This window comes from Homo sapiens, chromosome 19, assembly GCF_000001405.40.
Source record: "Homo sapiens chromosome 19, GRCh38.p14 Primary Assembly".
Taxonomy (NCBI): Eukaryota; Metazoa; Chordata; class Mammalia; order Primates; family Hominidae; genus Homo; species Homo sapiens.
Window position 1 is genome coordinate 48558243 of NC_000019.10, and position 12085 is coordinate 48570327.

General features: G+C 50.4%; 1 protein-coding gene across 1 annotated transcript in view, besides 3 other annotated features; it reads left to right on the forward strand.

Annotated features, from left to right (window-relative positions):
- Positions 1-12085, forward strand: part of SULT2B1 (sulfotransferase family 2B member 1) — a 47256-nt gene that overhangs the window by 6071 nt on the left and 29100 nt on the right. The window lies entirely within an intron of this gene.
- Positions 5150-5444: an enhancer, noted in NCBI's record as "tiled region #10218; HepG2 Activating DNase matched - State 5:Enh, and K562 Activating DNase unmatched - State 5:Enh". NCBI's record gives its function as "activates a minimal TATA promoter and a strong SV40 promoter by Sharpr-MPRA in HepG2 and K562 cells {active_cell/tissue: HepG2 | K562}" and the evidence as "EXISTENCE:reporter gene assay evidence [ECO:0000049][PMID:27701403]".
- Positions 5150-5464: a biological region, named in NCBI's record as "Sharpr-MPRA regulatory regions 10218 and 12364".
- Positions 5170-5464: an enhancer, noted in NCBI's record as "tiled region #12364; HepG2 Activating DNase unmatched - State 5:Enh, and K562 Activating DNase matched - State 5:Enh". NCBI's record gives its function as "activates a minimal TATA promoter and a strong SV40 promoter by Sharpr-MPRA in HepG2 and K562 cells {active_cell/tissue: HepG2 | K562}" and the evidence as "EXISTENCE:reporter gene assay evidence [ECO:0000049][PMID:27701403]".

Consider the following 12085-nt stretch of genomic DNA (forward strand, 5'->3'; position numbering starts at 1 on the left):
TGACTGTATCACGCCCTGGATGGGGAACTTGGGGATGAGCAAGACCCGGAAGGAGCGAGATCCGGGAGGGAGACTCAGCCCAGACAGGAGGCGTTAGCAGGCGCTCTGCGGTTCCAGGCGTTTCCTTGCATTCCCTGCGTGCTGGGCTACGGAGAGTGTCAAGGCCAGAGAAGCCACGCCGGCCTTTGGACCTGGGGCGCCTCGGGCAGCCAAGGAGAGCTGCGGTGGCCGCTCCTCCCCGCGCTCTGATCTCGGGAGTCCCTGGCGCCGGCACCTTCTGATCTCTGCCTCTTATTGACGGGGAGGGCGAGGAGGGGCCAGCTCTGGTTTTACAACCCCGGCCCCACCTTCCTTAGGGAGGGCTGAGCCACATGAATGATTTTATGGCCAAAGCCCTGCCAGTCATGAGGCTGCTTTTTCTTTTTTCTTTTCTTTTCTTTTTTTTTTTTTTTTTTTTTTGAGACAGAGTTTCACTCTGGTTGCCCAGGCTGGAGTGCAGTGGCACCATCTCGGCTGACTGCAACAGCCGCCTCCGGGGTTCAAGCGATTCTCCTGCCTCAGCCTCCTGAGTAGCTGGGACTACAGGCGTGCGCCACCACGCCTGGCTAAATTTTTGTATTTTTAGTTGAGACAGGGTTTCACCATATAGGTCAGGCTTGTCTCAAACTCCTGACCTCGGATGATCCACCCGCCTCGTCCTCCCAAAGTGCTGGGATTACAGGTGTGAGCCACCGCGACTGGCCTGAAGCTGCTTTTTCTGAGACGGGCTGATCAAGGGGTTTCAAACAATTAAGAAATAATAAGGCATTGCCTCCCCGCTGGGTGAGATTTGGGCAGGCAGACTAGGGAGAGGGGCTTCGGGGCCAGCACTAGCGGATGCGGGGACTTGGGGAGAAGTGGAAAAAGATGCTCACGGTTCCCTCCTTCTCCACCCAGCCCCTGACGAGGGACTCAGCCTTGAAGAGTGAGGGACAGGATGCGTTTTCCTTTCCACTCGCTCTTTGGGGTGGGGGGAGGCAGTTGTGCCTGGTGGGCCTGTGTACGGACTGGCAGAGGAAAGGTTGGAAGTGGTGATGTTCAGAGTTCAGGACCCATTTGGTTTTGTTTTTTGTTTTGTTTTGTTTTGTTTTGTTTTGTTTTGTTTTGGAGACAGAGTCTTGCTCTGTCGCCCAGGCTGGAGAGCAGTGGCGTGATTTTAGCTCACTGCAACCTCCGCCTCCTGGGTTCAAGCGATTCTCCTGCCTCAGCTTCCCAAGTAGCTGGGATTACAGGCATGTGCCACCATGCCTAGCTAATTTTTGTATTTTTGATAAAGACAGGGTTTCGCCATGCTGGCCAGCTGAGTTCAGGACCCATTTGGAAAGAACTAAGCAGCCCAGTTTGCCACCCAGAGGGTCTGGAGGAGGAACTGTGGGACCCAGTGGGTCACCCATGACATGGAATAAATGCCAGGCTGAGAAGGGAGACCCTCGCCTTGCCCGGAGGCCTGGAGTGGAGGCCCTAAGAGAGGTGTGGCCAGTTACTTACGTGGGGACCAGAGCCCCAAGGATCTGGGAAAGTGGGGACCGTGACACCGCAGGCAAGAAAGCCTGCAGGGGCCAGGTGCCACAGCTCACGCCTGTAATCCCAACACTTTGGGAGGGCAAGGCAGGAGGATTGCTTGAGGCCAGGAGTTCAAGACCAGCCTGGGCAACATAGCAAACCCTCATCTCTCTTTAAAAAAAAAAAAAAAAAATTAAAAAGAAAAGAAGAATGCCCACAGGAAGGCAGTCCTGGGTTCGAATGCCGCCCCTATGGCTCAGGAGCTGGGACCCTCCTGGTAGAAAGGACTGCCCTCAGGGTTGAGCGTCTGTGAAACGGGCAATGACCGGGGAAGGGCCTGACCTGGGCTCGCAGCTGACTCAGCATTTGTGCTGTTTCTCTCTTTCCTCCTTCCCCAGTTCTGAGACCGCTGCTGAGCCAGAAACTCGAATGCTAGCAAGGGAGGGGATGGGTGAGGAATGATAATAATGATGAGCTTCCTGAGCATCTGCCCTGAGCCAGGCCCTGTGCTGAAGGCTGTGTGGGGATGAGCTCACTGAGTCTTCACAACAGCCCTGTGTGGTCCCAGTGTTACAATGCCCATTTTACAGATGGGAAAACTGAGGCCCCACTCATAACCCTCATGCCAGAGAAAGGAATCCAACAGGGGCTTGGAACTGCAGTCAGAGGCTGCCCCTCAGTGGCCATTTCTTCTCGGGGGGACTTGTCACCCTTATGGTTTCCATGACCCTGGCCACCCTCCATAGATATATACCGTGAGCCCATAGGAAAACATTTTCTCGTAGCCACCTTTTTAAAAAAACAAAAGAAACAAGTGAAATTAATTTTAATCACATATCTAATCTATCTGAAATATCATTTCCACATATAGTCAATTTCAAAAACTGTCAATGAGGCTGGGCGTGGTGGCTCATGCCTATAATCCCAGCACTTTGGGAAGCCGAGACGTGTGGATCCCTTGAGGTCAGGAGTTCGAGACCAGCCTGGCCAACATGGTGAAACCCCATCTCTAGTAAATATACAGAAATTAGGACAGCCGTGGTGGCTCACATCTGTAATCCCAGCACTTTGGGAGGCCGAGGTGGGCCTATCATTTGAACCCGGGAGGCAGAGGCTGCAGTGAGCTAAGATCCTGCCATTGCACTCCAGCCTGGGCAACAAGAGCAAAACTCCGTCTCAAAAATAAAAAAAATAAAAATTAGCCAGGTGTGGTGGTGGGCGCCCGTAATCCCAGCTACTCGGGAGGCTGAGGCAGGAGGATTGTTTGAACCCAGGAGACGGAGGTTGCTGTGGGGCTGAGATCGCACCACTGCACTCCAGCCTGGGAGACAGAGCAAGATCTTGTCTCAAAAAAATAAATTCGGGCCCGGTGTGGTGGCTCATGCCTGTAATCCCAGCATTTTGGGAGGCCGAGACAGGCGGATCACCTGAGGTGGGGAGTTCCAGACCAGCCTGACCAACATGGAGAAACCCCGTCCTACTAAAAATAGAAGAGTAGCTGGTCGTGGTGGCACATGCCTGTAATCCCAGCTACTCTGCGAGGCTGAGGCAGGAGACTCGCTTGAACCCGGGAGGCAGAGGTTGCAGTGAGCCGAGATCGTGCCATTGCACTCCAGCCTGGGCAACAAGAGTGAAACACTGTCTCAAAATAAATAAATAAATAGATAGATAAAATAAATAAATTAATTAAGATAAAATAAATAAATAATAAAGGTATGCTGGAAGGGAGAGAGAGAGGAGGTGTTTGAGAGAAAGGAGGAGAGAAAAAAAGTGAAGAGCCCCAGGCGACAGGCGTCGTGCAGGGTGCGGTTCCACGGTGTAGTGGAGCATGCGACATTCAGGGAACAAGCCAAACTGGACAGTGAGAACGGAACACTGGCAGCCCAGCTACAGTGGGACTCGGATGGGCAGGGCCTGCGGTGAGACTGTCAGGCTTCAAGGGACAGAGCCAGGGACCTCGAACCTAACGTGTGTTCCCCATCAGGCAGATGTGGGTGAGATGCTCTACATCCCAGAGCCCCACTCCCCTCTTCTCCAAAATGGGCCTTGGCTGGGTGCAGTGGCTCATGCCTGTAATCACAGCACTTTGGGAGGCTGAGGCAGGTGGATCACCTGAGGTCGGGAGTTCAAGACCAGCCTGGTCAACATGGCAAAAACCCCATGTCTACTAAAAACACAATAATTAGCCGGGCTCATTGCTCACGCCTGCAATCCCAGAACTTTGGGAGGCCAAGGCAGGAGGATCACTTGAGATCAGGAGTTTTGAGATCAGCCTGACCAACATGGCGAAACCCTGTCTCTACTAAAAATACAAAAATTAGGTCAGGTGTGGTGGCTTATGCCTGTAATCCCAACACTTTGGGAGGCTGAGGCGGGCGGATCACCTGAGGTTAGGAGTTCAAGGCCAGCCTGGCTAACATGGTAAAACCCCGTTTCTACTAAAAATACAAAAAATTAGCCAGGCGTGGTGGCACATGCCTGTAATCCCAGCTACTCGGGTGGCTGAGGCAGAAGAATCACTTGAACCCTGGAGGTGGAGGTTGCAGTGAGCTGAGATGGCCATTGCACTCCAGCCTGGGCAACAAGAGCGAAACTCTGTCTCAAAAAAAAAAAAAAATTAGCAAAGCGTGGTGGTGTACACCTGTAATCCCAGCTACTGGGGAGGGTGAGGCAGGAGAATTGCTTGAACCCCGGGAGGTAGGGGTTGCAGTGAGCCGAGATCACACCATTGTACTGCAGCCTGGGTGAAGGAGTGAGACTATGTCTCAAAATAAATACATAAATAGAAATAAAAAATCATATGCATGTTTATATGGATTTTTATTATTATTATTTTATTTATAGATCATAGTTTTACTTGTTTTGAGGATATATGCAATATTTATATAGACTTTATTTATTTATTTATTTTTTGAGACAGAGTCTCACTTCCTCACCCAATCCAGAGTGCAGTGGCGCGATCTCAGCTCATTGCAACCACTGCCTCCCAGGTTCAGGCAATTCTCTTGCCTCAGCCTCCCAAGTAGCTGGGATTACAGGCATGTACCACCATACCCAGCTAATTTTTGTATTTTTAGTAGAGATGGGGTTTCACCATGTTGGTCAGGCTTGTCTTGAACTCCCAACCTTAAGTGATCCGCCTGCCTTGGCCTCCCAAAGTGCTGGGATTACAGGCGTGAGCCACCATGACCAGCTGATATTTATATAGACTTAAAGTGTGCAGGAATTGGCAAGAAAAAAAAAAGTTAAGCGGGAACTTTCCCTATCAGATCTTTTTTTAAAATATAAAATTTTATTAAAATAGATTTTTTGTGGAGACAGGGTCTTGCTATGTTGCCCAAGCTGATTTTGAACTCCCGGGCTCAAGCCATTCTCCCGCCTTGGCTTCCCAAAGTGGTAGGATTACAGGGGACTGAGCCACCGCACCCAGCCTCCTATCGGATCTTAAAACCTACTTTACAGCTACTACAATGCAAATCATATGATATCCACTCTGTGACCTAGCAATTCTGTTCCTAGTTATTTGCCCAAGAGAAATGAGAACGCCGGTTCCCACAAAGACAGGAACAACTGTGGCAGCTTTGGGAGTAATAGCCTGACCTGGAAACCGCCGAGGTGTCCATTAACAGAGGACTGGATCAACACATTGTGAATTTATTTATGCAGTGGAATTCTACTCAGCCGCAAATGGGAACAAGCTCTAATGTATACACAGACACGGAAAATGTCAGAAACATTATGCTAGGCAAAAACAACCAAAACACCAAAGAACCTCTTGTGTAAGATGACAGTTCCAGAACATGCAAGACTGGGCTGATGCAATCTGTACGGTGGGGGACGTAGAGGGGTGGCCTCTGGGGACAGGGCAGGGACTGATTGAGACAAGATGCAGGCTGGGGCGCAGGCACCGTGGCTCACACTTGTAATCCCAGCACTTTGGGAGGCCGAGGTGGGTGGATCACTTGAGGCCAGGAGTTCAAGACCAGCCTGACCAACATGGCGAAACCGCATCTCTACTAAAAATACAAAAATTAGCTGGGCGTGTTGGCACATGCCTGTAATCCCAGCTACTCGGGAGGCTGAGGCAGGAGAATCGTTTGAACATGGGAGGCAAGGTTGCAGTGAGCCAAGTTGATGCCATTGAACTCCAGCCTGGGCAACAGAGACTTCCTCTCAAAAAAAAAAAAAAACAAAAGAAGAGGAAGAAGAAGAAGAAGACTGGGCTGAGGTGGGTTGATCACGAAGTCAGGAGATCGAGACCATCCTGGCCAACATGGTGAATCCCCATCTCTACTAAAATACACACAAAAAATGAGCCAAGCGTGGTGGCAGGTGCCTGAAGTTCCAGCTACTTGGGAGGCTGAGGCAGGGGAATCGCTTGAACCCAGGAGGTGGAGGTTGCAGTGAGCCGAGATAGCACCACTGCACTCCAGCCTGGCGACAGAGCAAGACTCTGTCTCAAAAAATAAAAATAACAATAAAAAATAGGTCGGGTGCAGTGGCTCACGCCTGAAACCCCAGCACTTTGGGAGGCCGAGGCGGGCGGATCACGAGGTCCAAAGATCGAGACCAGCCTGGCTAACACGGTGAAACCCTGTCTCTACTAAAAATACAAAAAATTAGCTGGGCGTGGTGGCAGGTGCCTGTAGTCCCAGCTACTTGGGAGGCTGAGGAAGGAGAATCGCTTGAACCCAGGAGGCAAGGTTGCAGTGAGCCGAGATCACACCACTGCACTCCAGCCTGGGCAACAGAGCGAGACTCCGTCTCAAAAAAAAAAAAAAAAAAAAAAAAGAAAGAAAAAAAGAGGAACTTACAAGAACAATGGAAAGATTACCCCATGAACACCCCTATGCCCACCACCACTAAAATTTGGGGTTTTTTAAATTTTTAAAATTTTTTTCTTTTTTACAGTGTCCCTTTCAGGATACACTTAAATTTTATTATATAGTACTTGTTTTATCACAGATCTTTGCATCCCTCTAGCCATCTATCAATCCTTCTGGGTTTGTTGTTGTTGTTGTTTTGAGATGGGGTTTCACTCTGTTGCCCAGGCTACAGTGCAATGGCTTGATCTTGGCTCACTGCAACCTCTGCCCCCCAGGTTCAAGCGATTCTTCTGCCTCAGCCTCCCGAGTAGCTGGGACTACAGGTGCGTGCCACCACGCCCGGCTAATTTTTGTATTTTTAGTACAGATTGTGTTTCACTATATTGGTCAGGCTGGTCTTGAATGCCTGGACTGATGATACACCTGCCTCAGCCTCCCAAAGTGCTGGGATTACAGGAATAAGCCACTGAGCCCAGCCTAATTTTTGTTTTTTTTAGTAGAGACAGGGTTTCGCCATGTTAGACGGGCTGGTCTCAAACACCTGACCTCAGATGACCCGCCTCCGTAGGCCTCCCAAAGAGCTGGGATTACAGGCATGAGTCACGGTGCCCGGCCTAATCCTTACTTTTGATGCATTTCAAAGTAAGTTACAGACATCTGAATGTTTCACCCTAAACATTCCAGGCTGCATATTATTAACTACTTCAGTATTTGTTTATGGGGGGGTGTGTGTGTGTGTGTTTGTGTGTATGTGTGAGAGAGAGAGACAGAGAGATGGAGAGAGAGAGAGATGGAATCTCCCTCTGTCACCTAGGCTGAAGTGCAATGGCTAGATCTTGGCTCACTGCAACCTCCACCTCCCAGATTCAAGCGATTCTCCTGCCTCAGCCTCCCGAGTAGCTGGGATTACAGGTGTGCACCACTACGCCCGGCTAATTTTTGTATTTTTAGTAGAGATGGGGTTTCACCATGTTGGCCAGGCTAGTCTCAAACTCCTGACCTCTGGTGATCTGCCTGCCTCGGCCTTCCAAAGTGCTGAGATTACAGATGTGAGCCACTGCACCTAGCTAGTGGTTTTGTTTGTTTGTTTGTTTTAATAGAAGTTTACCTACAGTAAACCACACAAATCTAAAGTGTGCTAGTTTTTTGTTTGTTTGTTTGTTTGTTTTTGAGACAGGATCTTGCCCTGTCACCTAAGTGGTACAACCACAGTTCACTGAAGCCTCGACCTCCCCAGCTCAGGCAATCCTTCCACCTCAGCCTCCCAAGTAGCTGAGAAGACAGGCACATGCCACCACACCAGGCTATTTTTTTTTTTTTTAGACGGAGTCTCACTCTGTTACCCAGGCTGGAGTGCAATGGCATGGTCTTGGCTCACTGCAACCTCCGCCTCCTGGGTTCAAGTGATTCTCCCACCTCAGCCTCCCAAGTAGCTGGGACTACAGGCGCACACCACCACACCCAGCTATTTTCGTATTTTTAGTAGAGACGGGGTTTCACTCTGTTGGCCAGGCTGGTCTCAAACTCCTGGTGTCGAACTCCTGACCTGGTGATCTGCCTGCCTTGGCCTCCCAAAGTGCTGGGTTACAGGTGTGAGCCACCGCACCTAGCCTAAATATTTTATTGTTATTTGTAGAGACGGAGTCTCACTATGTTGTCTAGGCTGGTCTCAAACTCCTAGGCTCAAGTGATCTTCCCACTTTGCTTCCCATTTTGGGAGGATTTGGGCTCCCAAAATGCTGGGATCACAGGCACGAGCCACCGCACCCAGGCTAAAGTGTGCTCATTTTGAGAAATATATGTACGGCTGGGCACAATGGCTCATGCCTGTAAAGCCAGCACTTTGGGAGGCCAAGGCTGGTGGGTTGCTTGAGGCCAGGAGTTCGAGACCATCCTGGCCAAAATGGCAAAACCCCATCATTACTAAAAATACAAAAATTCGAGGGATGTGCCAGGCGTGGTGGCTCACACCTGTAATTCTAGCATTTTGGGAGACTGAGGCGGGTGGATTGCTTGAGCTCGGGAGTTCCAGACCAGCCTGGGCAACATGGTAAAACCCCGTTTTTACTAAAATATAAAAAATTAGCTGGGCGTGGCAGTGTGCTCCTGTAATCCCAGCTAGTCAGGAGGCTGAGATGGGAGAATCACTTGAACCCGGGAGGCAGAGGTTGCAGTGAGCCAAAATTGTGTCACTGCACTCCGGCTTTGGTGACACAGTGAGACTCTGTCAAAAAAAAAAAAAATTAGAGGGACGTGTTGGCACACACCTGTAATCCCAGCTTCTTGGGAAGTTGAGACATGAGAATCACTTGAACCTGGGAGGTGCTAGTTGCAGTGAGCCGTGATTGTGTCACTGCACTCCAACCTGGGCGATAGAGCAAGACTCTGTTTTAAAAAAAAAGAGAGGGAGAGGGAGAGATGCAGAGATGCATGTATAACCCAAGTCCCTGTCAAGATGTAAACTCCTTTTGAGTGGCTGAATTCCAGCGTTTTTCCAGGTCCAGACTCATTTACCCCGTCCCCTGTTGTTTCTGGCCTCTCTTGGAACATCATTGCCATGATCGCCCTGGGATATATTTCACTGCGCGCTTCCTCAAGGGCATCTGTCTATTCCTTATGTTTCTAGGGGGTCAGGTTCATTCGGGGATCTGGCAAATAGAACACAGTATTTAACCAGGCACGGTGGCTCACACTTGTAATCCCAGCACTTTGGGAGGCTGAGGCGGGCAGATCACGAGGTCAGGAGTTTGAGACCAGCCTGACCAACATGGAGAAATCCCGTCTCTACTAAAAATACAAAAATTAGCCAGGCGTGGTGGTGCACGCCTGTAATCTCAGCTACTCAGGAGTCTGAGGCAGGAGAATCGCTTGAACCCAGAAGGCAGAGGTTGCAGTGAACTAAGATCATGCCTGGGCGACAGAGCGAGACTCTGTCTCAACAACAACAAAAAAAGAACACAGTGTTACCCGTGTGTCGGACATTGGCTTTGAAGGTAGGAAGGACATAGCACAGGGAAAAATTCTGCCACTTCCCAGCTCTCCTGCTAGTGAGGAAGGCAGATTTAAAGAAGGCAACAGACCAGGTGCGGTGGCTCACGCCTGTAACCCCAGCACTCTGGGAGGCTGAAGTGGGAGGGTCGCTTGAGCTGAGGAGTTCAAGACCAACCTGAGCAATGTGGTGAGACTCTATCTCTACAAAAAATGTAAACATTAGCCAGGTGTGGTGGTGTATGCCTGTAGTCCCAGCTACTCAGGAGGCTAGGCTGAGGCAGGAAAATCACTTGAGCCTAGGAGACTGAGGCTGCAGTAAGCTGTGACCGCATCACTGCACTCCAGCCTGAGCAACAGAGCAAGGCCCTGTATCCAAAAAATAAAAATAAGCAGGGCACGGTGGCTTATGCCTGTAATCCCAGCACTTTGGGAGGCCAAGGCAGGAGAATCCCACGAGCCCAGGAGTTCAAGACCAGTCTGGGCAACATAGCGAGACCCCTGTCTCTACAAAAAATTTAAGAATTAGCTGAGTGTGGTGGCACACACCTGTAGTCCCAGCTACTGGGGAAACTGAGGTGGGAGGATCGTTTGAGCCCAGGAGCCGGAGGGTGGAGGTCGAGGGTGCAGTGAGCCAAGATCAAGCCACTGCATTCCAGCCTGTGCAACAGAGTGAGACTCCATCTCAAAAAAAAAAAAAAAAAGTATTAAAAAGGGCCGCAAAGGAGGCCAGCAGGATGCGGAGATGGGCAGTAATGTGCACGGGGTGGGAGGTCTCTTGCTTTAGCCAAGGTGGTCAGGGAAGACCCAAGCCCTGAAGACAGAGAAGGAGCTGGCCTTGAATCCTGTAAATGTTCCCAAACGATCTCCCTAAGAGGTTATGCCAGTCACACTCCTGCCAAGAGAGTATCTCTGCGCCACGGCCAAGGGTGAGTCATCCTGCTGAGAGGTTGAGCTGGGGACGCCTGCCCAGATGGGCTCCAAGTGAGGGAGAGCCTGGCGGGGAGAACAGCCCGGACAGAGGCAGGGCAGGGCGCCGGGACACTGCTTGGCGCGTCCTGGGAGTGAAGCGCATTGAACCCAGCTCAGGCTGGTGGTGGGGGAGTCTTGGCAATGCTCTCTCTCCAAAGGCGAGTTGATCACAGACGCTGGCAGTGAGTCAGCGGCACCGCCAGGGCTGCTGAGAAATCCCTCCTGCTGTCCGATCGCATTCCTGGAAGGGTGGGCCGCTCAGGGCCCCCCAGCTCCAGTCCCACTCAGGCCCCAGAATCCCAGCAGCCCACCACTCACTTCTTTGCGCTCACTCTTCCTTCTGGTCCCCACACACCGCTCCCTCTCTCGCTACCTTCAGTCTTTGCTCAGATGTCGAGTTCCCAGAGGGGCCTCCCTGACGCCACCGTTCTAGCAGCATTTAGCATTTAGATAAATGACAAATTTTAGATTAAATGTTAGATAAATTTTAGGCTGGGCGTGGTGGCTCACGCCTGTAATCCCAGCACTTTAGGAGGCTGAGGCAGGCAGATCACAAGGTCAGGAGATCGAGACCATCCTGGGTAACATGGTGAAACCCTGTCTCTACTAAAAATACAAAAAATTAGCAGGGCGTGGTGGCGGGCGCCTGTAGTCCCAGCTACTCAGGAGGCTGAGGCAGCAGAATGGCGTGAATCCAGGAGGCGGAGCTTGCAGTGAGCCAAGATCGCGCCACTGCACTCCAGCCTGGGCGACAGAGAGAGACTCCGTCTCAAAAAAAAAAAAAAAAAAAAACATATATATATATATATATATATATATATATATATATGATAAATTTTAGATAAATTTTTATCTAAAATTGTAACTCACTGGATTCAGTGACATCTATCTGTAATCCCAGCACTTTAGGAGGCTGAGGTGGGAGGATCGCTTGAGCCCAGGAGTTTTCTTTCTTTTTTTTCTTATTTTTTAAAGAGATTGGGTTCTCACTCTGTGTAGCCCAGGCTGGTCTTGAACTCCTGGCCTCAAGCAGTCCTCCCATCTAGGCCTCCCAAAGTGTTGGGATTACAGGCATGAGCCACCATGCCTGGCCTCAAGATTGGTTTTTTGTTCTGAGACACAGACTCACTCTGTCACCCAGGCTGGAGTGCAGTGACATGATCCCAGCTCACCATGACCTCCGCCTCCCAGGTTAAAGTGATTCTCCTGCCTCAGGCTCCTGAGTAGCTGGGATTATAAGCATGCGCCACCACGCCTGGCTAATTTTGTATTTTTAGTAGAGATGGGGTTTCGCCATGTTGCCGAGGCTGGTCTCAAACTCCTGATGTCAAGTGATCCACCTGTCTCGGCTTCCTAAAGTGCTGGGATTAGAGGCATGAGCCACCTCGTCAAGATTGTTAATCACATCTGCAAAGTCCGTTTGGCCATTTGTGGAACACAGTCTCAGATTTCAAGGATTAGGACGACAACATCATTGGAGGCTGTGATTTGGCCAACCACAGTCACAGAGATGGAATTACACAGAGTTTACCTTCCAAGTCTGGCTCTTTCACTCAGTGCAATGCCTGGGAGAGCCTTCCCTGTGGCTGTGGGAACCGCCGGTTTGTTCTTTTTTTTTTTTTTTCTGAGGCGGAGTTTCACTCTTGTTGCCCAGGCTGGAGTGCAATGGCGCGATCTGGGCTCACTGCAACCTCCACCTCCCAGGTTCAAGTGATTCTCCTGCCTCAGCCTCCCAAAAAGCTGGGATTACAGGCGTG